Source organism: Homo sapiens, chromosome 1 (assembly GCF_000001405.40).
Source record: "Homo sapiens chromosome 1, GRCh38.p14 Primary Assembly".
Classification (NCBI taxonomy): domain Eukaryota; kingdom Metazoa; phylum Chordata; class Mammalia; order Primates; family Hominidae; genus Homo; species Homo sapiens.
The window spans coordinates 80740095-80765501 of NC_000001.11; positions in this window are offsets into that span (position 1 = coordinate 80740095).

Consider the following 25407-nt stretch of genomic DNA (forward strand, 5'->3'; position numbering starts at 1 on the left):
AAATGGACAAATAGGAATCACATCGAAATAAAAACTTCTGCACAGCAAAGGAAATAATAACAAAGTGAAAAGAAAACTCACAGAATGGGAGAAAAATATTTGCAAATTATTCATCTGACAAGGGATTTATAACCAGTATATATTTAAGGAGCTCAAACCACTCAATAGGAAAAAGCTAGTAACCCAATTTAAAAATGGGCAAAACATCTGGATAGACATTTCTCAAAAGAAGACATACAAATGGCAAATAGGTTTGTGAAAATGTATTTAACATCACTCATCATCAGAGAAATGCAAATAAAAACTACAATGAGATATTATCTCACCCCAGTAAAAATGGCTTTTATCCAAAAGACAGGCAATAATGAATGCTAACATGGATGTGGATAAAAAAAGGAATCCACTTACATTGTTAGGGGGAATGTGAATTGCCATTTCCACTATGAAGAACAGTATGGAGGTTCCTCAAAAAACTAAAGACAGAACAACCATATGATCCAGAAATTTCATGAATGTTCCTGTATCTAAAGGAAATGAAGTCAGTATTTTGAAGAGGTATCTGTACTCCCATGTTTGATGCAGCACTGTTCACAATAGGCAAGATTTGGAAGCAACCTAAGTGTTCATAAACAGATGATTGGATAAAGAAAACGTGGTACATATACACAATGAAGTACTATTTGGCCATAAAAAAGAATGAGATGCTGTCATCTGCAATATCATGGATGTAACTGGAAGAAATTATGTTAAAGGAAATAAGCCAGGCACAGAAAGACAAACTTTGCATGTTCTCACCTGTTGGTGAGATCTAAAAATTAAAACAATTGAATTCATGGAGATAGAGAGTGGAATGATTTTTCATCTCCATGAACTCATGGAGAGAGAGTGGATTGAGCCTGGGAAAGGTAATGGGGGGTCTGATGGGGGAGTGGAAATGGTTAATGGATACAAAAATATATTAGATGGAATGAATAAGATCTAGTATTTGATAGCACAACAGAGCAACTACAGTCAACAATAATTTATTGTACATCTAAAAATAGCTGAAGGACTATGATTGGAAAGTTTGTAAAACAAAGAAATGATGAATGCTTAAGTGATAAATATCCCATTTTTCCTGATGTGATTATTACACATTTTATGTCTGTATCGAAGTATCTAATGTACCCCATAAATACATATACCTACTATGTACCTGTAAAAATTAAAATGAAAAAGAAAGAAAAAGCTGCATGGTAGGGCCAGTTGCCATACTGACTTGCTTCAATCAGATACAATAATTATATTTAGCTATTTTTGGCTTTGCTCTTTAAATATACAAATATTCAATCACGCTTCAAGATGCATCTATCTGGCTTTTGTGCTGGCCAAATGGGAGGGTTAAATGGGAATGTACTAAGAATCATTATTCCTGTTTTTTTCAAATCTTTGATGATGAAGCTAATCTCTAACATTTCCTTAGGATTATAATATTGCCTTCAGTATGTAAGGGGGAGGTAGGATGTTCCAGTCGATTCTACTAGGTTATTTCTACCATAGTAGTCCACATTCTACTAGTCATGGAAATAATATATTTTGTTATTTATTAAATATAACTATTTTCACTGTTTAATCTGTGACTGAGAAAATAATCACCATGAGTTTGGCTTGGGGCAAGATTCCATTTGTCTTCTGATCTTGATAAGCCGCAATCTCCAGTTTATCTCAAGTCTCTGAGCATTAGTATCAGTCTAAAGCCAGCGTATAAAAAATCCAAGGGCTGAGTTTTACTCTTTCTCTGCTATACACTTACTCTCATAAATGCTGCTAGTCTCTCTGAGAGAAATTATTTTAAAAAAATTCACTTGTGGCTGCATTGAGGAATGTTTCTTGAAGAGAGCTGGCTTTCTCCATAAACAAATAGCTTGAATTCTGTGAAATGAATTTTATCTAGAACTTGAGTAAGAGACCATAAATACCCTACATCAACTTGAACTGTGCTTTCTGCTAACCGGACCTAGAATTTTCCCACTTACATATTTTAAACAGCCTCTTAATAGTCCCCTCACCTATTTAATTTCTAGAGATCCTGTAGTCAATTAACTGTATTTCTGCTTGGGAGAGTACTCTGATTGTGACGTCTCTCTAAAGTGTATTATGATAATTGTGCTTATCTTTGTCCTCACAGGTAAGTACCTTTATTACTCTAGGATCTAAGGTTCCACTGCTCTCATGGAAATTGGGGAGCTCAATTCCATGGCAGAATTTATCTCTAGCTTGCAAAAAGACAGTCACCACACTTTCTAAGAAGGCTTAGAGAAACATGTATCCCTCAGGCTTCCCTAGAGTTTAAGTTAGGAACTGGTTAAGCAGATTGCACATAAGACATTCATTCCAACATTTTCTAAGCCTTCAGGCAACTCTCCTATTCAATATGCTCTGTAAATTCCAGCATCTCAATTTCATTGACTATAGGTCTGCCTTCAATTCTCCAACCAAGCAAACTATTACTGTTTACTTTCAGTGTGTTCAAACCAACACAAATCCTGGATGCTGAGTAAGTGGATTCATTTCAATAAATTAAACCCATGTTGGTCTTATATTCCATGCTCCTGGACCTAACAATCTTAGAATCCCTCTCATTCATGCTCTCTGGACTCTTACTGATACTGATCGGCAAGATACTACATTTATTTCAGCAGATAGGCTATTTCATTTTAGGTTAATATTTGTACTTCTCCATTTGAACTCTGCCTCTGCTGGCATCGAAGTCTTCTTACAGACCTACAGGACACATAGGCTGGTGGAGTGAGTCCTGAGAACAACTGAAATTCCATTGAGAGGCAACTGTTCCAGTTTATATATAAAGAAGCTGCATCCATTAACAAAGTTTTAGGTGTATATGGGAATTCAAATTCCTCAGCTTTATGTTTCTTCTCTAATGTGCTCATGCCACGCCCCATTCTTCCATTCTTTCCCAACCAGGACCTTTTCTTAGAATAAAGATCTAGTAGAATTGTACATTGCATTAGTTTTGTTCTGTAATTCTACCGTGATTACAATCAGGCCCTGTGCTTGACTCTACGTCTATAGGACGTAAGAAACTCTGTTATAATTGCCTTTTAAAAACAAATTTCCGGTCGGGCTCAGTGGCTCACGCCTGTAATCCCAGCACTTTGGGACGCTGAGGCGGGCAGATCACGAGGTCAGGAGATCGAGTCCATCCTGGCTAACACGGTGAAACCCCTTCTCTACTAAAAATACAAAACATTAGCTGGGTGTGGTGGCGGGCGCCTGTAGTCCCAGCTACTCGGGAGGCTGAGGCAGGAGAATGGCGTGAACCCGGGAGATGGAGCTTGCAGTAAGCCCAGATCGCGCCACTGAACTCCAGCCTGGGAGATGCGAGACTCCATCTCAAATAAATAAACAAATAAATAAATATAAATATAAATAAATAAATAAATAAACAAATTTCCATCTGAACATTGCAATTGGCATCCACGACAATCAGCATTTTGTTTCCTCATTACTCTCTAGGACCCTCAGAGGAGCTATCCCTGTTTCAAACTTTGTAAGCACTATTGTTACTATATAGACACTTGGTCACAAAAGCATGTCTTCTGTCAGCACTTTCTCATGTGTCTTTGCTGGTGGTCATTTTTTGAAACTAAGATGGCAACATTTGTCCATTACCATCCCCACCCTGGATGAGGCTATAAAGTTATACATGTGCTTCTAAAACATGTAAACAACCGAATCCTGGAATCTTAATTTTATGGTTCTTCCTGGGAGGGCTACTCCTGGTATCAATCAGTCTTTTAGTCAAAAAACAGATAGCACACCCTAATGGGGTAATTAAGGAAAGATTAATGTGGACACTATTTTTAGCAAGTAAACCAACAGGGACTATGAAGCACCCCAGGGCTACCAGGCAGTGGTAACTTGTTATCATGTTTAGGCTTAAAGTGGCGAGAGAAAGGAACAATTACTATATTTTGGAGAGTGTCGTGGTTTTAGGAAAAGACTACCCACTAGAAACATAATCCCTGCCAACCTGCAGCCTGGCAGAAGTCAGTTGGTGGACTAAAACTTCAGCCCTCTCTCTTCTGCCACCGATCTCCTGCTGGTGCCTCCCATTGGCTGTGACCCAGTATATTATAAGAACGTAGTCCACAACCTTTTCCAGTATTATTGTTGAGTAGTATTTGATGTTTTCTTCCTCTTCATACTCTACATTCTCCCCTTTTTCCTTACACAGCTGATGACCCTTGATTTCACTGAGAAAACCAAAGCTTTTGGAAAACAATTTTCACAGAGTCCCAAGACCATATTGACATGTTTAGCAGTATCTGTACCCACATCACAGGCCTCCATTCCTGTTGCCCATAGATTAATTTCCATGTTTCTCTATAATCCACAACTCCTGAACTGGATGCCTTTCATCTACTCAAGCATATCTCTCTAGCTCTTCTCCCTCATTTCTTCCACATCATCAATGTTTCTTTGCTATTGTATTATTGTCACCAACCCATTGACATACTGTTATTTTTCCCATCATAAAAGTTCTTTATCACCCTTCTCTTTCTAGCTACTGTCACATTTCTTTTCTCCTTTTTATAGGAAATCTCCATGTGATTGTAATCTTACTTTTAGAAATTCAACTCTTCTTATCTTTTAAACCCTCCTAAGTCAGGCCTTCACTCTGAACTTGTTCTTGTAAAGGGCACTAATGACCCACCTTGTTGAATGTAATGGTTAATTTCAGTCAACTTGTCCCATCAGCAACAGTTAACATAGTCGGTCACACACTCCTTAAATATTTTAACTTGGATACCAAGTTGGTTTTCTAACTTTCTATGGCTATTCCTTTTCAGTGTCCTTTGCTTCTTTTTCATCTAGGTCAGGTGCCACCCAAAGGAGTTTTATTAATAAAAGACATAAATTAACATGACATACATGTGAAATTTAGGCTAAAACTCTATCCCAAATATCCTCAATATTATCTAGTCTCTAAAGAAAGATTGTGTTTGGGCAAGGAGGTATTAATTACTTAAAATCTAATGTAGCATTTTATGTGAAATTTGCCATACCACCTCCCATTCCGCTAGATGACATTTCTAAAACACAATTTGCAACACTGTCATGGTCAAAATCCTGTGTATGAAACTTAGGCATTACTCTCAATTAATGCTTGGTTCTCACTTGTGACTTTATGTTACTTGATAAATCTAGTGATGTGCTAAAGTCAACTCAAATTGATTTGAGAGAGCCAATTTTTAAATTTTTGGATATCTTATCAGCAAGTTGTTAAAGCACTGGTTGCACAAAATTGGCTATTGGGAGAGAATTTACACTATGGGAATTGGAAAATGCTACAAATTAGGAATTTTGTCTCCATAGATGCAGATGTTAAATATTTACTAGTACACAATTGCTTGAATTATTTGCGACAGTGTTTTGACAAAATCTTGAAATTAAATTACATTATGATGTCTGTGCTATCAAATAAGCTCCATGTGAATAGAAAGCTGGTACGTTTTCTTTATCTTTATATTCCCATAGACCATCACAGTATTTTGTACATATTTGAATACATATTTTTGTATTAATGAATGTACATACACCTTTGTATTATATCATAATATAACCCATGGGTTATACAACAATAACCAAAAAATGTTGTGTTTTTCTAATAAATATACAGTATCTAAGTTGCTGTCTAATTATTCTAAGCCCTGAAAATATTTTTTAAAGTCTCAAGACATTAATACATGCCTTAATAAAGCTTTTAGGGAGATGAATAGAAGTGATATTATAAATAAATAGGGGATTTAGAGAATGATCTCACTTTGTAACAGACACCAACTATTTAAAATACACCGTCTCTTTACTGTGCATTAAACTGCTCCACTGTAATTTTTAGTAACAATTATAGAAGCCATTTCAAAAGCATTTTAGATATGGGGAAGTCATATAACCAGGTTTTCTTTGTTATTTTCTTTTACGCATCCTAACACCACAGTTACGAGAGGATGTCAGCTTTCCAGAACTCTCATATTTAAATTGTTTTTCTTCTTTCCTGTTTTCTTTAAATATTTTTATTCTCTAGACAGGCAGAATAAGGACCAGTGAAAGAAACCATTATAATTCCTTTGTCCATTTTCTCCAGAATTGCTATTGCTTCACTCTCTCCAACTTTGTCTAATGGATCTACTGAATATTTAAATATATCCTAGTGGAGTAAAAATACTAAGCAAAAGAAATTGAAATTACAGAAAATATAAATTCAATCATCACACTCAATTATTGTAAGCTTTCCTCCCTGGCATTTGAAATGAAACAAGGATGTATATTATCATCACTCCTATTCAACATTTTATTTGTTCTATAACTAGCCAGGACAATAAAGCAAGGGCGAAAAAGACAGGGACAGCATAAGGTTTAGAAAAAAGAAATAAAACTTGCATTATCTGAATACATGAAGAAGAATATAAAGTTAAATTTTAGAATCAATAAAGATTTTAGCAAGGAGACTGTACATAGAGCCAAACGTAATTAAATTATATTTATGTATATTAGCAGAACAGATAAAATTGGAGTTAAAAATACATTAATTACAGTGACAGCAAAATATATCAAATGTTTAAATATGTATAACAGAAGGTATGCAATAACTCTAGTTTAAAAAGTAGAAAAGAGTAGGAGAGAGATTTAAAAAAAAGATTTAAAATAAATGTCCATGGTTTGGAAATTCAAAATTATAAAGATGTCAATTCCTCCTAAATTGATTTATAGATTAAGTGCATTTTCAATTAAAATACCAGCAAAGGAGTGTGTGTGCATGTGTGTGTGTTTGTAAATGGACAGATCCTAACATCCATATGAAAACAAAAGGTGATAAAAATACTCAAAGCAATCCTGAAGAAAGCAAACAAAGTTAAACTCACTTCACATATCAATATCTAAAATAAAGTTGTAGTAATTTGATCAGTGGGATACTGACACAACAATAGACTAGTTTACCATGAGAATAGAATAAAAAGTTAAGAAATAGACCCACTTATAAATGTTCACCTGATTTATGACAAAGGTGACACTGTGGTTCTCTGAAGAATGAATAATCTTTTCAATAAATGGTGCTGAGTCCATTATAAGGCAAAACAAAACGTATATGGATTCCTACCTCGTACATTATGAAAAATCAATTAAAGATTGATAGCAGATCAAAATGTGAAAGGTAAATCAATAAAGCTTTTAGAGAGATGAATAGAAGAAAATTTTATAAGGTGAATTGGAAAAAAATTCTCAAATTGGACACAAAACGTCTCAATCATAAAAGAAAAAATAAATTAAATGATGTTAAATTAAGAACTGCTTATCTGAAGCCATCTTTCTTTTTGAAGTCATCTTTAACAACAAAGAATTTCATAGATTGAAAGAAGATATTCACTAAATATAACTGACTAAGGACAAATTTCTGAATACCGCAAATTCTTCAATACGTCAATAAGAAAAACATAGTATCCAATAGATATGGGGAAATTTGGACAAACATTTCAGAAAAAAAAGATATACAAATTACCAATAAATACACGGAAATATGTTTACCTTCATTATCTATTAAGAAAATTTAAATCAAATAACAATGTGATACCATAAAATACCCAAAAGAATAGTTAAAGTAAAAATGATGGAAAAGGTATAGTGTTAGAAAGGAGGTGGAGTTCTTGAGACTTATAAACTACTGGTGGGGGCACAAATTGGTGAAACCACTTCTTAAGTCTGCATGACAGAATCAACCAAAGTTAAAACTACATATACCTGATAAGAGCAATACCAATTCCAGGTGTATACCTACACAATATGCATTTGCCTTCCAAAGATATGTATTGGAATGTTCATTGCAGCACTTAATGATAATTCCTTATAAATAGCAATCACCCAAATGCCTAACATCAGATAAAGTGTATTATATCCACACAATGAAATGCCATCCTACAAAAATGAAAATGGATGATTTTCAACTACATAGAAAAACATGGGTAAATCTAACAAACATAATGTGGAGCAGAAGAAGTCAGAAAGAAAGGAAGGCACGCAGGTAAAAGTCATACATATAAAATACAAAAGCATGCAAACATATACACACCAAATAAAATAACACAATCCTAATTGTGTGTCTATGCTGTTAGAAGTCAGAGTAAGGCATTACTCTCATAGAAGTGGTGACTGAAAGGAAAAGAATTGGGGCTTCTGTGGTGTTGGATGATCTGAGGAATTTGTTTTGTTTTTTTATTTATCTCAGAGCTGATCAGACCAGGGTGTTTATCTGTGAAAATTTTTCAACATGTACACTCATGACATGTGATGCTTTCTACATGTTTATTAAACTTCAATGAAAAGGTTTTAAAAAGAGTATGGTGGGAGAGGTTTTATTTTTCTCACCAACATTCATAATTTTTATTGTATACCATATCTCTCTTTTATGCTATTTTGTTGTTTCTCTTTGAATAAGAAGGCTTTGTTTTTATTGACAAACAAAATTCCAATCCAAGCTGTGCCCCATTATACACATCTTGTATTATATAACATGAGGGAAGGAGTACAGCTATTTAATTTCTGATATTTCCATTTCTGGAATAAAAACCAGAAGGTTCAGGTTTAAAATTTCCTAATTTGAACCACCCATAGCAAGAAAAGCAGGCCCAACATGTGTACCCCAAATCAATCCAGTCACCAGTATTTTCAGCATAGTAAGAACATAATCTTTTATTTTAACGATAAAATGCATTAATTTTTCTAATTCTATAGCCTTTAAAAATCTTCTTAAATATTTAAAGCAAAGCCCCATCTTGGAAAACACTATGCATATTTCTTTAATGGAAATTTTATGCTAAATTTCTCATAACAACCAAGTGAACCTTCTTTGAAAGAAAGGAAAAACTGTTGTATTCAAAAGAGAGAGGCAATATAAACATATCAGTACAGATAGTCCCCAACTTATGACAGTTTAATGATTTTTTTAGCTTTATGATGGTACAAAATCATCTAAATACTTTGAATTTTGATCTTTTGCCGTGTTAGTTATATGTAGCACATGAGATATTCAACATTTTATTATAAAATCGGCTTTGTGTTAAATAATTTTGACTAACTATAGGCTAATGTAACCATTATGGTAATGTTTAAGGCAGGCTAAGTTAAACTATGATGTACAGCAGTTTACATGTATTAAATGCATTTTTGATTTACCGTATTTTCAACTTATGATGGGTTTTCCAACATGCAATCCCATTGTAAATGCAGGATCCCCTATATATGCTGCATTATGAATACTCAGATTAGGATTTTCATAGTGATTTTTATTTAAAATTCTCAGCAGCTCTTGTTCATGGACTACAAGTGTTCAATGCTTACTGTACTGAAATCTCACTTTTTGTATTTATAAGGAAATTATTGTTCTGATATGTAAACTAGGAGCTTTGTTAGGTTAGATGACAGGGAATCATTGAGTTGCCTCTCTTTAATAATAAAGACATACCACTATGTTCTTACTTTATAAATGTATCAATATTTTCTATACTTCATATTACATTTTAAACACATATACTTCTTTACATATACACACATAAATATATACACACCAAATGAAATAACACAATCCTAATTGTCTTAACATGTTTTTTTTTTAACACAGATTCACCCAAATTTCTAACTCATATTATATTACTTGTAATTACAAAACTGTGTGTGATAGTTCACATATGAGTATAGAAACTTGGGATGCTTCAGACACAAGAGGAATTGACACCTTCTTGGAGGCTCTTTTCCAGGGACTTTATTGTGTCATAAGAAAGACTGGTTGCAGGACAAGTGTCTGGAGAAAGCATTATTTGTAATGCAAGTCTGGGAGAAGAGAATAATAGCCAATGTGGAAAAGACATAAATCACCATCTGGTTCCTCCTTTCAGATTCCTCATGGAAAAAAAGACTAAAGCTTCCAGAGGAACGGCAACAAAAACGATCATCCTTGGACCATAGATAAAAACCCATTAAGGCTAAAGGAAGAGAACCTGAAAAACACCCTCTACTCCTGAGATAAGGGCAGAAATACATTTTGAGCCCACGTCGTAAGAGTTTCCTACAGCTTGATGAGGGACAGGATCACTGAAAAGTCCCCATTCCTGAGAACCAGGTATGTAACACCTGCCTAACACAGGCTGAACCAGAACAGCTGAGATTTTCTCCACCATTCACTACTACCAGCCTAACAAGCGTCATGCAATGAGTAATAGCCATTTAATCTGGAAAAAATATCAAAGGAGAAGAGACTGCCACTGAAGTATAGGTGCAATGGGAAGACCCAAAGCTAAAGGTAGAATAAGCAATGTAAAATTTCCTGGAAGATAAGTTGTCTACCTAAACACAAGGAAATTCAGGAGGCAGTTGTCACCTGTAGTGCACTAAAGGCAGTCATACCAACAACAAACCAAGCCTAGAAAACCTAGTTCAATTTCTAATTAACTTTACTCAGTCTCAGACACTAAAGACTTAGAAAAAAGACATGTGCATTTCTAGGAATAAATGTTATTTGTCTCAGTTTCTGCTAGTCTAATAAGATGTCTGACTTTTATTCAAATTTTAAAAGACATAAAGCAGCAAGAAAAACAAGGCATGTTCCAAATGAGACAAAGCAATCAACAGAACCAGATTTAGAGATGAGAAAGCTTCGGGAGCTACCAGGCGTGGAATTTAAAATAGATATAGTTAATAAATTGAAGCTTTCAGAGGAAATGGTAAGCAGCATACATTATCAGATGGTCAACTACAAGAAAGGATATAATGGTAATGCTACAGATGAAATACAGTAACAGAAGTGAAGGATGTCTCTGATGGTCTTCTCAGTAGGTGACACAAACAAGAAAAGAAGCACTGAATTGGAGATACATCAATAGAAATTTCACAAATAGCAAAAGAAAAGTTAGATTGGAAAACAAAAATAAAAACCAAACAAACAAAATATCTAGGACAATACAGAGCAGTCAAGGACTGTGGGGCAATATGAGTCTAATGCAAATGGATCAATTGAAGGAGAAGAGTGAAAGAATGGGGCAAAAGAAATATTCAAAAATGAGAATGTACAATAAGTTTGTGAAATTAATAAAAAATAAAAGCACAGTTTCAATAAGCTTGGAGGACACCATGTAGGACAAACAAAAACAAACAGAAAAACAAAAGCAGTATATATCTTATCAAATAGCTACAAATGTAAGACAAAATCTCGAAGGCAGCCACAAACACAACACATTACATACAAGGGAACAAAGGTAAGATTCACATCTGAATTTTTGTCGGAAACTATGAAAGTGAAAATGCAGAAGAGTAACATCTTGATATCATAAAAATAAATTAAAAATTGTCAACTCAAAATTCTAGACCTGTGAACATAACTTTCAAAAATGAAACAGAATAAAACATTTTATTCCATACATGGAGAAGCAGAGTTCTTTACCTGCAAATCTAAATACAAGAAATTTTAATGGAAGTTCTTCAGACATAAAAAATGTAATATCAGGCAAAACCCTGTATCTACACAAAGAAATGAAGAATATTAAAAATAGAATAATAAAGATAAATATATAATATTTTCTTCTTGTAATTGCTCCAGTAAATGACTGCTTAGAATGAAAATTACAGCAATGTACCATGCATTTATGGCATACCTAGGAGCTACATGCATAATAAAATTGCACAAAAAATAGAATAGAGAAATTGGGAAGATACTGTGGTAAAACACTTTCTCAAAAGAAACATGCAAATGGCTTAGAAACAAGTTTATGAAGAAATGCTCGACATCACTAATCATCAGATAAGTGCACATTAAAATCACAATGAGATACCATATCACACTAGTTAAAATAGTTTGTATCAAAAAGATAGGCAATAACAGATGCTGGCGAAGATGTGGGGAAAGGGGAAGCCAGACACAGAAAGACAAATATCGTATATTCTCACTCCTATGTGAAAGCTGAAAAAAGTGGATTTCATGAAAATAGACAGTAGGTTGGTGATTACCGGAGTCTAGGAAGGGGAGGAGGAAGGGGGAGATGAAAGGAAAAACAGAATATAAATGTATTTATTACCACTGAACTGCAAATTTTCAAATGCTGAAGATGGTAAGTTTTATATATAGATTTTACCACAATGAAAAAATTAGAAAGTTAAATCATAAAATATTTAATCAAATGATAATTAATATACTATATATAAAAATTTGGGTCTGGGAGCAGTAGCTCATGCCTGTAATTCCAGTGCTTGGGAAGCTGAGGTGGAAGGAAGCTTGAGGCCAGGAGTTTAAGACCAGCCTGGGCAACATAGTAAGACCTGTCTCTACAAAAAAATTAAATAAAAAAAAATTAGTCATGGTGGCATGCACCTGTAGTCCTATCTACTTGGGAGGCTGAGGCAGGAGGATCCCTTGAGCACAAGAGTTTGAGGATAGAGTGAGCTGTGGTTATGTCACTGCAATTCAGCCTGGACAATAGAGCGAGGCCCTTTCTCTATAAAAAACAAAATGAAATAAAATAAAATCCAGGGTTGCTACGAAAGCAATGTTAACAAAAAACATTTATGTTGACACAACCAAGTGTTGATTAATGAGGGGGATATATTCTGAGAAATGCACCTGTATTAGCCTGTACTCACACTGCTAATGAAGACATATTTGAGACTCAGTAATTTATAAAGGAAAGAGGTTTACTGGACTCACAGTTCCACATGTCTGGGGAGGCCTCACAATCATGGTGGAAGGAGAAGGAGGAGCAAAAGCATGACTTACATGGTGGCAGGCAAGAGAGCATGTGCAGGGGAACTGCCCTTTATAAAACCATCAGATTTTCTGAGACTTATTCACAATCATGAGAACAGCACAGGAAAAACCCACGCCCATTATTCGATTACCTCCCACTGGGACCCTCCCACGACACATGGGGATTATGGGAGCTACAGTTGAAGATAAGGTTTGGGTGGCGACACAGCCAAACTATATCAACATCATTAGGTGATTTTGTCATTGTGCAAACATCATAGAATTTACTTAAGCTTGGTGGCTACCTGGTATAGCCTATTCTTAGGTTACAAACCTGTACTCCATGTACTGTACTGAATACTGTAGATAATTATAATACGATGGTATTATTTGTGTATCTAAACACATCTAAGCACGTAAAATGATACAGTCAAAATATGGAATAAAAGATAAAAAATGGTACACTTATATAGGGCATTTTTCGTGAATGGAGCTATCAGGATTGGAAATTGCTCTGGGTGAGTCAAGTGACTAAGTAGTGAGTGAATGTGGAGGCCTAGGACATTACTGCACACTACTATGGACTTTTAAAACACTGTATGCTTAGGCTATACTAAATTTATTTATAAATGTCTAATTTCTTCAGTAATTAGCTTTAGCTTATTGCAACTTTTTTATTTTATAAACTTTTAATTTTGAAATTTTTGATTCTTTTGCAATAACACTTAGAATACACATTGTACAAACACATTGCTTTTTTATATCTTCATTTCCTAAGCTTTTTCTGTTTTTGAAATTTTATTTTTTTTTTACTTTTTAAACTTCTTTGTCCTAAACTAAGACATAAACATATACATTAGCCTAGGCCTACACGGGTTCAGGGTCATCAATTTCACTTTCTACCTCCACTTCTTATCTCACTAGAAAGTCCTCAGGGGCAATAACATACATGGAGTTGTCATCTTCTATGACAACAATGCCTTCTAAAATACTTCCTGAAATGCCTGCTTGTGACTGTTTTATGATTAAATTTTTTATGTGCAGAAGCAGTACACTCCAAAATAATGATTAAAAGTATAGTATAGTATAGTATAGTATAGTATAGTATAGTATAGTATAGTATAGTATAGTATAGTAAATACATAAACTGGTAACATAGTAGTTTATCAAGTATTATGTACTATGTATATGCTATACTGTTACAGGACTAGCAGCCCAGTAGGTCTGCTTACACCAGCATCACCACAAACACATGAGGAATACATTGTGCTGTGATGTTACAACAGATATGACATCACTAATCAATGGGAATTTTTTAGTTTTATTATAATCTTTGGGACCACTGATGTATTATATCCAATCTGCTGTTGACCACAAACATCATTATGTGGCACAGGACTGTATTCAAAAAGAAGGCAGATAACAAATAAAATAGCTGAGGTTTAGAAACAAGAAAAAAAGAGCAATTCAATCCAAAGCAAACAGAAGGTAAAAAATTACAATAATCAGAAATTAGAGAAATTAAGAACAAAAAAATAAAATTAACCAAGTGAAAAGTTGGTTCTTCGTGAAGATCAATAAGATTGATGAAATTCTAGCTAGACTGAACAAAATTAAAAGGAGGTATGTGGGTGGGAGAAAGGGGACAGGGGAGGAGACACAAATTCCAAATTTCAGAAAAGAAAAAGGGGACATCACTTCATCACACAGACCCTACGAAAAGCAAAATGGATGATGGAATTCTACAGCAACTTTACACCCACAAAATTGACAGTTTATATAAAACAGACAAATTTCTTGAAAAATGCAAACTGCTAAATCTCAGTTTAGAAGAAATAGACAATCTAACTATTTTTGTATCTATTAAAAACATTGTATTTACAATTGGAAACACTACAAAAATAAAATTTTCTGATCCAAGTGAATTGTAGCAAATATTTAAGGATAAAATTCCAACTGTATACAAATTCTCCCAGAATATAAAGAGGAGTTAATACTTCTCAACTCATTTTATGGGGCCAGCATTACTCCAATACCTAAACCAAAGGCATTAAAGACAAAGATGTTAAAGACAAAAATGTTAAAGACAAACAGAAGTCACATATCTCTCATGTACATGAGGAAAAAAAATCACAAAGAAAATATTAGCAAATTGAATACAACAATCTTTAAAAAGAATAAAACATTATGACTGCATAAGGTTTACCCCAGGAATGCAAGATTCATTTAACTTAGTAATCAGGATAATTCACCATATGAACAAACAAAAGATGAAAAAAATCATGTAATCATTTCAACGTAGGCAATTAGGAAAAAGCACTAGATAAATTTCAGCACACATACATAATAAAAAGTCTAAGTGAACTAGGAGGAGAAGCAAACATCTCCAAATCAATAAAGGTGATCTATAAAACAATGTACAAGCTGACATCATACTTAATGCTCAGTGACCCAAGATCAAAAACAAAGCAAGAATATTTGCTGTACCATTCTTATTCAACATCACATCAGAGGCTGTATGAGTTCAAGAAACCAGTAAAAATAACTAGAATGCATATAAATTAGAATGGAAGACTGCCTATGTAGAAATTTCTAGGGAGTCTACAAAAATAAATGAATGAAATGTACATTAGAGCTAGTAGTGGGTTTAGCAAGGCTACAGCATATAAGGTCAATACACAAAATAAATATATTTCTTATTTTTTATTTGCATAAATGTAATGGGTACAAGTGAAGTTTTTTTTTACATGGTTATATTGTGTAGTGGCGAAGTCTGGGCTTTTAGTGCAACCATCATCTAAATAACGTACATTGTACCGTTGAGTAACTCCTAATCCCTCACCCCCTATCCCCCCAACCTCCTGAGTCTCCAATGTCTATTATTCCACACTCTATGTCCATGCATACACATTATTTAGCTACCACTTACAAGTAAGAATATGTGATATTTGATTTTCTGTTTCTGAGTTGTTCCACTTTAGGTAATAACTTCCAGTCCCATTCATGTTGCTGCAAAAGACACAATTTCATTCTTTTTTATGGCTGAATAGTATAGGAATATATTTTATATATAGCACATTTTCTTCATCTAGTCATTCTCTCATAGACACGGGTTGATTCCATATTTGTTATTGTGAATAGTGCTGTGTAAAATAAATGATCAATTGAAAATTCAAATTTAAAAGTACCATTTACAATAGGAACAAAATACAGGAAATACTGATGCATAAGACTAATAAAATATATGTCTGATCTATCTGCTGATTAAGCAAAATACTGATTAAATAAATAAGAAAGACCTAATGGAGGGATTTACTATATTTATGGATTAGAAGACTTGATATATTTAATATGTGAGTTATTAAACTGTTCTATAGATTTGGCACAATTCCAATCCAAATTTGAACAGGTTTTTTGCATAGAAATTGATAAGCTGTTCTGAATTATATACGAAAACACAGAGGACCTAGAAAAACAAAACATAAGAACAAAGTTGGAGGACTCATACTACTAAAAATTTGGACCTGTTATAAGGTTACAGAAATCAGGACAGTATTTTATTGGAGAAAGGATAAACCCATAGATCAATGGAACAGAATTGAGAGCCTAAAAATGAAGCCACACATGTATGGTCAATTTTTTGACAAAGTTACAACAGCAATTCAATGGAGAAAGGGTAGTCTTCAGTGAAAAATGATAAAAAAGTATGCGTTCATATACAACAAAGTACTCATTGTTCCTACCTCACGTCATATACAAAACTTAACTCAAAGTCTATCACTGACCTAAACACAATACATAAAACTGTAAAACATCTAGAAGAAGACAAAGAAGAATACATTTATGAGCCCAGTTAAGGTGAGATCTTCTTGGATACACCACCAAAATAATGAATCAAAACAAAAAATATGAATAAGTTGGACTTTGTAAAAATTAAGAACATTTGCTCTTTGAAAGACAATATTGAAAGAATTAAAAGTGACAGACTAGGAGAAAATAAGTTCAAAGCACATATAAAACAAATCACATATCTAGAATATATAAGCGTCTTCTAAAATTTAATAAGAAAGCTAACAACTAAAAAATAAATAAGTAAATAAAAATTTGAACTCACCCACAAAAGAATGGCAAATCAGGACATGAAAAGATGCTCAACACCATTAGCCATTAGGGAAGTGCAAATTAACATTGCAACTAGATACCACAACACACCTATTTGAGATCACCAAGAGCTCACAAGAGGTAGAACAATTTGAATTCTCACATATTATTTGTATGAAATGACAAATTGTACAGCCACTGTGGAAACAGTTTGACATTTTCTTATAAAATTAAACTTACCCTTACTATGTGACTCAACAGTCATACTCGTAGGTATTCACTCAAGTAAAGAAAAACCTATGTTCCCACAAAAACCTTTGTGTGAATATTTAGAGCAGATTTATTCAGAATTATTCCAACCTAGAACAAGCTAAATGTCTCTCAGTTGAGGAATAGATGAACAAACCACAGTACATCTAGAAAATGGAATTCTACTGAGCTGTAAAAAGGAACAAACTACTGATAAACCCAACAATATAGGTGATTCTGAAGTGCATTATGCAATTTGCAAGAAGTAAGACTCCAAATGCTACATACTAAATAATTTCCTTTATAATACTATCTGGAAGAGGCTAAACCGTAGGGACAGATTATAGATTAGTGTTGCCCAGGGGCTAAGGATTAGATAGGAGGTTGACTACAAAGTGACTCAGGGAAAATTTTGTGGTGCAATGGAAATATTCTATATCTTTATCTTGGTGATAGTGACACAAGCATATGCATTTGTCAAAACTTGCACAAGTGGACATTAAAAAAGGTTATTTTCCTATGTTTAAACTATATTTTAATTTTTTTACATGGGGGATAAAGCCTTCCACTCAACAAGCCATTTCCTGACATATCACCATTTCAATTACTCTCCCACAAAAAATAGCTTAATCAAATTAAGAGTAAAACACTTTGGGGGTATAAATCAAATCTAGGATATTTTTCATCTATTTCTTTGCTAAGTGAGATATTTTCTAAGTATAAAGCTTGGGTTTTTTTCAATAAAATATATTAGATGAAGTCAGTATAAATAAAAATAAGGAAATGCTGTTATAGAGTAAAAACTTCAATAATATATCATGTAATTGGAGTATCTTACAAGTACAAATAATGTTCCCTCACTACATGTTTGCATTCATGTAACTGTTTCACAAGAATGAAAGCAAAGGGCTTATTTTTAACTTGCTAAATATATCCACTTTTTCAGTGACACTATGACAATTAAAAGTGTATTAAAATCCCATGACTGTAGCCTTTACAAAAATTACAATAAACATACTGAAATTTTGCATAGTTATGTATTTATCTGACCATAATTTGGATCAGCTGTATTACTATAGATAATACAGAAACAAGAAAGGAAAACATCTCTGGTTTCTTTTTCTAAGAATGAAATTTTATAAATTAAAGTGTTATGTTTCAATTAGAGAATAAATTGCACATTATAATCCAAGATATTGGAAGATTAGGATGAAAAAGAAAAAAAGTAATAATAAAATACAACTGAGAACTTTTAAGCCATGAATATTTTCAAATTCCTCAAAGAGGTATAGAAAAGATGATGCCTTTAAATAAAAGCTTTCATTATTAAAAAAAAAAAAAAACACTGGGAGCGGTTGGAAGACGCCGCACACATCTTACTTAACGATCCTTTAGGAACTAACATATTTGTATCTCCTTTTTGGTTTCTCTACCTGATTCATCAGTACATGGTTGGCTATGTATTGTAGCTATCTTTTTACATCAGCTATTCAAAACACTTTGCTTGTCACAAATTCACCAGATAATTGGTCTTTCTGCCTTAATTGATTTGAAATACATGTCATTTAAAAATTAAAGGACAATGGACTCAATTTTCTAATGACAAAAAAGAATACGTTTTCAAAGGTTGAGTTGATGGGGTTTTGACTAGACAAATGAGCTATTAAAGTCCTTTAAACAATTCATTAGTCGCTAACGGTTTTAGGGACATCTGTTGATGACACTGAAATTGATCAATTTTAGGTGCAACTTTACTGTTGGGAAATTCAACCACCAAATCATTCAGAAATTTAAATGAGGTTAATGCTTGCATGTCTACCTCTTTGTAGAACACAACTCCTGATTTTTCGTCTCTACACCGGAAGAACAAAACGGTAAGGCAAAGAGAAGAAAATATGTAATCTTTCATTTTAATTGAAGCTTTGAATTTGCAAATTTTAACATGTACAAGTTAATTTTGCAAAATTTTTCTGTAAAGACTGTATATAGACACTTTTTTTATAATGCATTGCTATAACACATAAAGGGGAAAATATAAGAATTCTATCCTTCTAAACCTATGGGTAAAAATAACGCATGTTTCATTTCTTATCTAAATGACATTAATTTAGACTGAGTCCCCATCCCATAGTGCTGGAGAAAATTTAGCCTTAGCCATTTTAAAAGTGCCCATCCTCTAGTGAAGGCAAAGCACTTGGGCCACATCCAAAGCCAACATACTGGGGAAGCCCTCTCTTCATCTGTCATCCATTCTCTATACTGTCTGGGTTTCATGAATATTATTATCCCAGTTGATACATTCCCTTCAGGTCTGATAGCAATGAATTTATCATGCCACACTACTAGGGCTCTTCTCCCTGAAGCTTTGCTGTCTCCTTGACAAGTTGCTAGGAAGTAAAATTCTGGAGTCAGCCAGACCTGGGTTTGACCCTTCGCTCTGCTGCTTATTAGTGGCCAGACCTTGTGCAAGTGGCTTAATCATTCTGAGCCTCAATTTCTTCAGCTCTAATATAGATAATAAAGAAAATTACCAGACTGACTGAGCCCTGAATAAGATAATGTTGTGACACTAAAATAAGATAATGTATACAAATGACCTAACATGCCATCAAGCACATTGATATGAATTTTAGCTATTTGGTAGCGCCATGTATATTTGCTGACAAATACTCTCTCCTTGATCAGACCTTAGTCAGACTCCTCCAAGCCCTCTTCTCAACTACGTTTCAATCTTGGGCTTTACTGTGCATCCTTATCTGGCCTTCATTGCCCAATTTCAGTAAGAATTCTGCCAAGTCAGTTTAGAGAGAATTCCCCACTTCTGATATGTGATCCTCTCAATATCTAATGAAATTCCACATCCCTTACCCTCAATATCTGATCACCCTGACCTGCCTTCAGCAAATATTCCACCCTCATCTCCCATGTTCCCTCTTAATCATTTTCCATCCACCACTTCTACCACTACCACAAACTTGCTCCTTTGTTATTTATCCCCACTTTTCCTTGTTGAATTTGGAATTGAGCCCAATTCTATATTGAGATATCTCTTCCTCTACTGCAATAACTCCTGAATAAAATATATTTTTACTGTTTTAACTACTATGCAGCTCCTGCTTTTCTTAACATTTTCAGCATTAGTTCTTAGAAGATATTGACATAGATCATTACAAAATAAGTAAAAACACAAAGCTTGCTACAAAACTTTATTTTACAATGAGTAATTTTCTTCATCATGAGCATATAGCATCTTTATATGGCCTGTAATGTAAAACTAATGAGGAATTATAATGGGATAACTGGAGTAGAGATATTGTCTATTCTCACAAAGATTTTATAATGTAAGCAGAGGCAAACATACATACACTAAAAAATTGTGTGTGGATGTGCATTTTAAATATCGTATATAAAGTGCTAACAGGATATTCTTGTAGGAATTTCAAGCATAACGTTCAAAATGGTAATATGATCTCAGATTAGAGCTCAGACATAAAAGCAATAATTGAAGTCCATAGAGCAAGAAAATAAAGGTTTTCCTCATTTTTCAGACTGTGAGCTTGGTAAACATTCACAAGACAGATTTCAGAAGAACAAATAGAATTAGCAAAGTAGGTAATGAGTGGTCACAAATATAGAAGGGCAACACAGACAATAAAAGGGGTAAGAATACAGTTTAATCAAGTATTAAACACATCATAGAGGTCACATATAATAAATACAGAAAGAAAAAGCAACTGCGGATTTGGGGTTGAGTTGCTTAGAGAGCCAAGACTCCTTTTTCCTTCAGTGTTGTTAGCTCCAGGCTGATAAATGGGTTAATTTTATGGACTGAGTTCCTACTTAGGCTAATAAAATATGGCAATAATAATGAGACAATAGTAGTAGCTTATCTGCTCCCCAAAGCCCTCAGAGACAATGTTTCATGGAGTAAGTGAAACTAGAGATTCAAAGGTCTCATTCTCTTTCAGAAATTCAAATCTCCTAACCTAGATTCAATGAACATGCTTCTAAGAAGCTACTCCATTTTGGAAGAACAACAGATATTATCACCACTGAAAGAAAAGATCGTTTGGATTTGACCGAACGTTCTGTGTCTCAATACCCATCATAAGGGGAAGAAGATTCTACTACAGCTACAAAATTCAGCCTTTGGGGTGCTGCTTTGTTGGAGGTTATACCAAGATACTCACTCATTTCCTGGAAGGATCCCTAAATACAGAAAGCTAGACGGCTTTTAAGTTTTTCTAAACTCGGTAGATTAAACAGCCACTCAACTGATTCTTTGGAGCAGCTATTATGGAAATTAAAATGCCCTTTTAAAAACCAGATAAGTCCCTACTAGAGCTACGTTTCATCCCCTATGCCATCTTGCTTCTCTATGCATACACACACACACACACACACACAAAAGAAGCTTATGGATAATGTTCATTGCACTGGGAATATCCAAAGCAATGAATGGCTTTTAGAGTTGATTAAATGCTAAAGTGAAGCTTTTTGATAACCATGAGAGCTGACTATTGTAAGTGTACTCCAGTGTCATGAATATTACTGCTAATACATGATAAGATTTTTAAGGACATAATAAAGTGTAATAAAGAATAGATCACTTTCTTCCCTTTTGAGGTCTGGAAAGAGCTATCTTCTTTTCCTTGGGCCTTTACGATTGATGGCAAAAGGGAAGTCCTTTTAAAGTGAGTGACTTGGTCAGGGAGGTTACATAATGAGATTAATAGCTTAAAGGAATGGACTGTGTAACAGGCCGTGATGAGATTAAAGATATTTTAATATCAAAAAGGGCTTTGTGGCTTGTTAAAGAGAATACAATTTAGCATTTGAGTGCTGAGACTGACAGAAACTTTTGTTGATTAATAAGAATGTATGCCTCTTGCTGTACATTACTTAGCCGGGGAAATTGTGAGAACAGTACTTTATAGTACTGACAGTGCACTAAAATAAAAATGCAATAACTAGAAGGTGGAGTTATTAGAGTGAAATGAACTATTGCACTTTGAACAAATGTTTCAAATTATATTTCAGTTATTTGGTTCTTTAAAAATTCAACTGCATTTATTAAAAAGTTAATTCTATATATTTAAACAAATATGTATTGAAAGATATTGGGTTTACAATAGCAATGGGTTATTTTTAAAAATTGGGTAATAAGCTACTATATAATCAAAAATAAATTGTGAATGTTTTCCTTTCTTTATATAGATATAAACTTCCTGTGTCATATTTATATTGGCAATATTGATAATCATTATCTATGTCTACCAAACACTATTCAAGCATTGTATTTATATTTTATATATCCTATATTATATATTATACACACACATACACACATATATATGTATTTTACATATTTTTAAACATATATATATAATGTATATTTGTAAAGGACTGATAATTTAATTGAGAAGAAGACACTATTTACAAAAGGTTACGGTAGTATTTGGTAAGTTTTTATTAGTCCAGCATTTGTTCTTCTTCTTTAATAACTTTCTTTTCTACTGGAAGTGACATGTTCTTTATTTGTATTGTTGAAGGTGACCAGGAGAGCCTGATATCTCTGTTCTATACTCCAGAGGAGCTCAGGCAAAGATTCCCTCCCAGAATTTTTGAAGTTGACCTAGCCAAAATAGGACAAGCAAGTACCCTTCAAAGTATTTATTATAGCTCAGCAGCAGCAGCAGCAGCAGTCGTGGGAAAGGCCCAATTAACTTCAGGATATTTGTTGAGCTCCCTGCTGTCTGAGTCTTCTTCCCATCAGAGCCCCTTTGATTCCTGCTCATCCCCCAAGATTTGTCTCCCAGGTGGCTGCCAATTATGTAAGAGTCCATAATATTCTTTCATTAAATTTCCCCTTGCTAAGATGAGCTCAACAAAAAGGATCTCAAACCAAGGTAAACACAAACATGATTACATCACTGAAGGTAAAGCTCTTTATAATATTGTTTATGTTTTATTTTTCTTATATTGATAAAATGGATAGCAGGGACTGTTTTTGGCAGTAGCGGTGATATTGAAGATAATAATCTACATATATTGAAGTTGCATTAATATATCATATTTCATAATAATCGTAAGAGGCCAATAATAATTTTATCCTCTTTTTAGAAAGAGAAAAACTGTGATATGAAATTTACTGTTGTATTTAAATTTCAGGGAGGGGACCCATTACTAAGAACTGAAGCTTTCAGAAAACTGTAAATCTTTACAGAAAAATGAAGGGAAAAAAGATGTGGTAGACTAGGAAAGGTGCAGAGTATTCATAAAATATTAAAAGAACCAGGTTTCTGGAGCACAAGTCATGTAGAGTAGTTGGATATGTCCTTGGGAGTTAGACAGATGAGAAAACTTAATTGACAAAAAATGAGTTAAATTATTACAATGAAGACATATAGATCTGGCCTAACTCTTCAGAAAGATCACTACAAAGAATGCATTCTACTAGAAGTTATTTAGAAAACAGTGACATCAGAGGAGACGAGAAAGTAACTGAAGTTTCTCATCAATCAACAAATTAACATGTTCCCACAGTTATGATTTAAGCTATAGTTTCTCTCTGCCCAGAACCCCGTATCACTAGGTGGATGTAAATACTCAGGCATGTTAGACATAACCTGCCCAAGGGAGGTTTCCTATTTACCTCACTTTGATTCCCACCAAGTCTTCTCTCTTTCCCAATACTCCCCACTCTCAACAAGAAGAGCAACCATCCATTTGGTTGCTTAAAAAAATAATACTTTAAGTTCGTCTTTTTCTATACCAGCCAGCAGAAAGCTCTGTGGACTTTGCCATCTGAGATGTATGCAGATCATACCACTTCTCCCCATCACAAATTTTTCCACCCCACATGATCTCTTTGAGTAAACTGCTGCCACAGGTCTCAAAGTGAACTAATCTCCTGATTCCATTCTTGCCCTATCTGACCCATTCCCATGCAACAGCAAGAGCAACATTGCCATAATCATGTGAATCGGGTCATGGCAATCCCGTTTAAAATCCCCCAACAACTTCCTGTTGCATTTAGAATAAAATACAACCTTTTCATCAGGTTCAGGAAGACCTTTCTGATTTGGCCTCTGCATACATTGCCAATGTCACTTGATACCACCTCTCCTTTTCTATTCTGCTCCTGCTGCATTGGCTGTCCTTCAGTTCCTAGAGCACGGTGAGCTCATTCCCCTTTTAGGATTTTTCTCCTTTAGTTATAAGAGGATGGCATAGTTTTGAGATTCACAGCTCAGCCTCGAAATCGTATTCTCACAGGCATCTACTCTGTACCTTACAGCAGAGCAGCTGCTCACTAGCATAACAACACAATTAAATCTCTCCATAAGACATATCCCTATCTGATATTGTGGGTGTTTATTGTTTTTTGTTATCTAAGTCATCTTTCAAGATATTAGCTTCATTAAAATAATCCCCTGGTTTATCCTGTTTACCCTTATATATATCAGTACCTAGTATATTTCCTGACACATGGTTGGTGCTCAGTGAATATCTGTCAAGTCAATGAATAAATGAAGGAAGAAAGAAAAAACTAATATTTATTAAGTGCCAGGAATAGTCAAGTAAGCTAAATAACTCTGAGTGGCAAAGTACAAGACAACCTCTATACCCATATTGTTAGAGATTATCTGAGATACGTCAGTGCTCTTTTAATATTAATAATAAAAAATTATTATCCATATTTAAGATTGTTACCTAAAGCTTTTTAACTCTTTTCTGAAAACCAATAAGACCCTTTTATTTTTCAGACACATATAAGCTTTATACAGTAGGTGGGGTATAAGTAAGCTATCCAGTTGGCAGAGGAAAGTACTATTCCCTCTTTCTCATCAACAAACTGGGGTGTTTTGCACACAAAGCAAAACAACTTTCTCAAAGGACCACACTGCTTAATAGCGGAAGGGAATGTATGGAGTTGCTGCAGGAGGTTAAAAAATGTGGCCCAAAAAGTGTTTGGTTTTTGATCTTTCTCTACAGATAATGTAGGAAGCTGAATGCCAGGAGTGTGAGGGCAAAGACAAAAAATAGAGTTTTGCTGTCTGATCCCTGGCCCTGAAGACAGGTTTCTAGGTTCTGAAACAATGGCCCAAACACTGACTGTAAATGTGCAAGCTTCTGCAGCTGGTATATAACACCTTATTGCTGCTTCATGCAGACAGTGGGTCTTAGATTTACTATTATTGCATTCTTTAGCTTTTACGTTTTTATCCTTTAGCTTTTTTCTTCTTTGCATTCAATATTTTTTTATT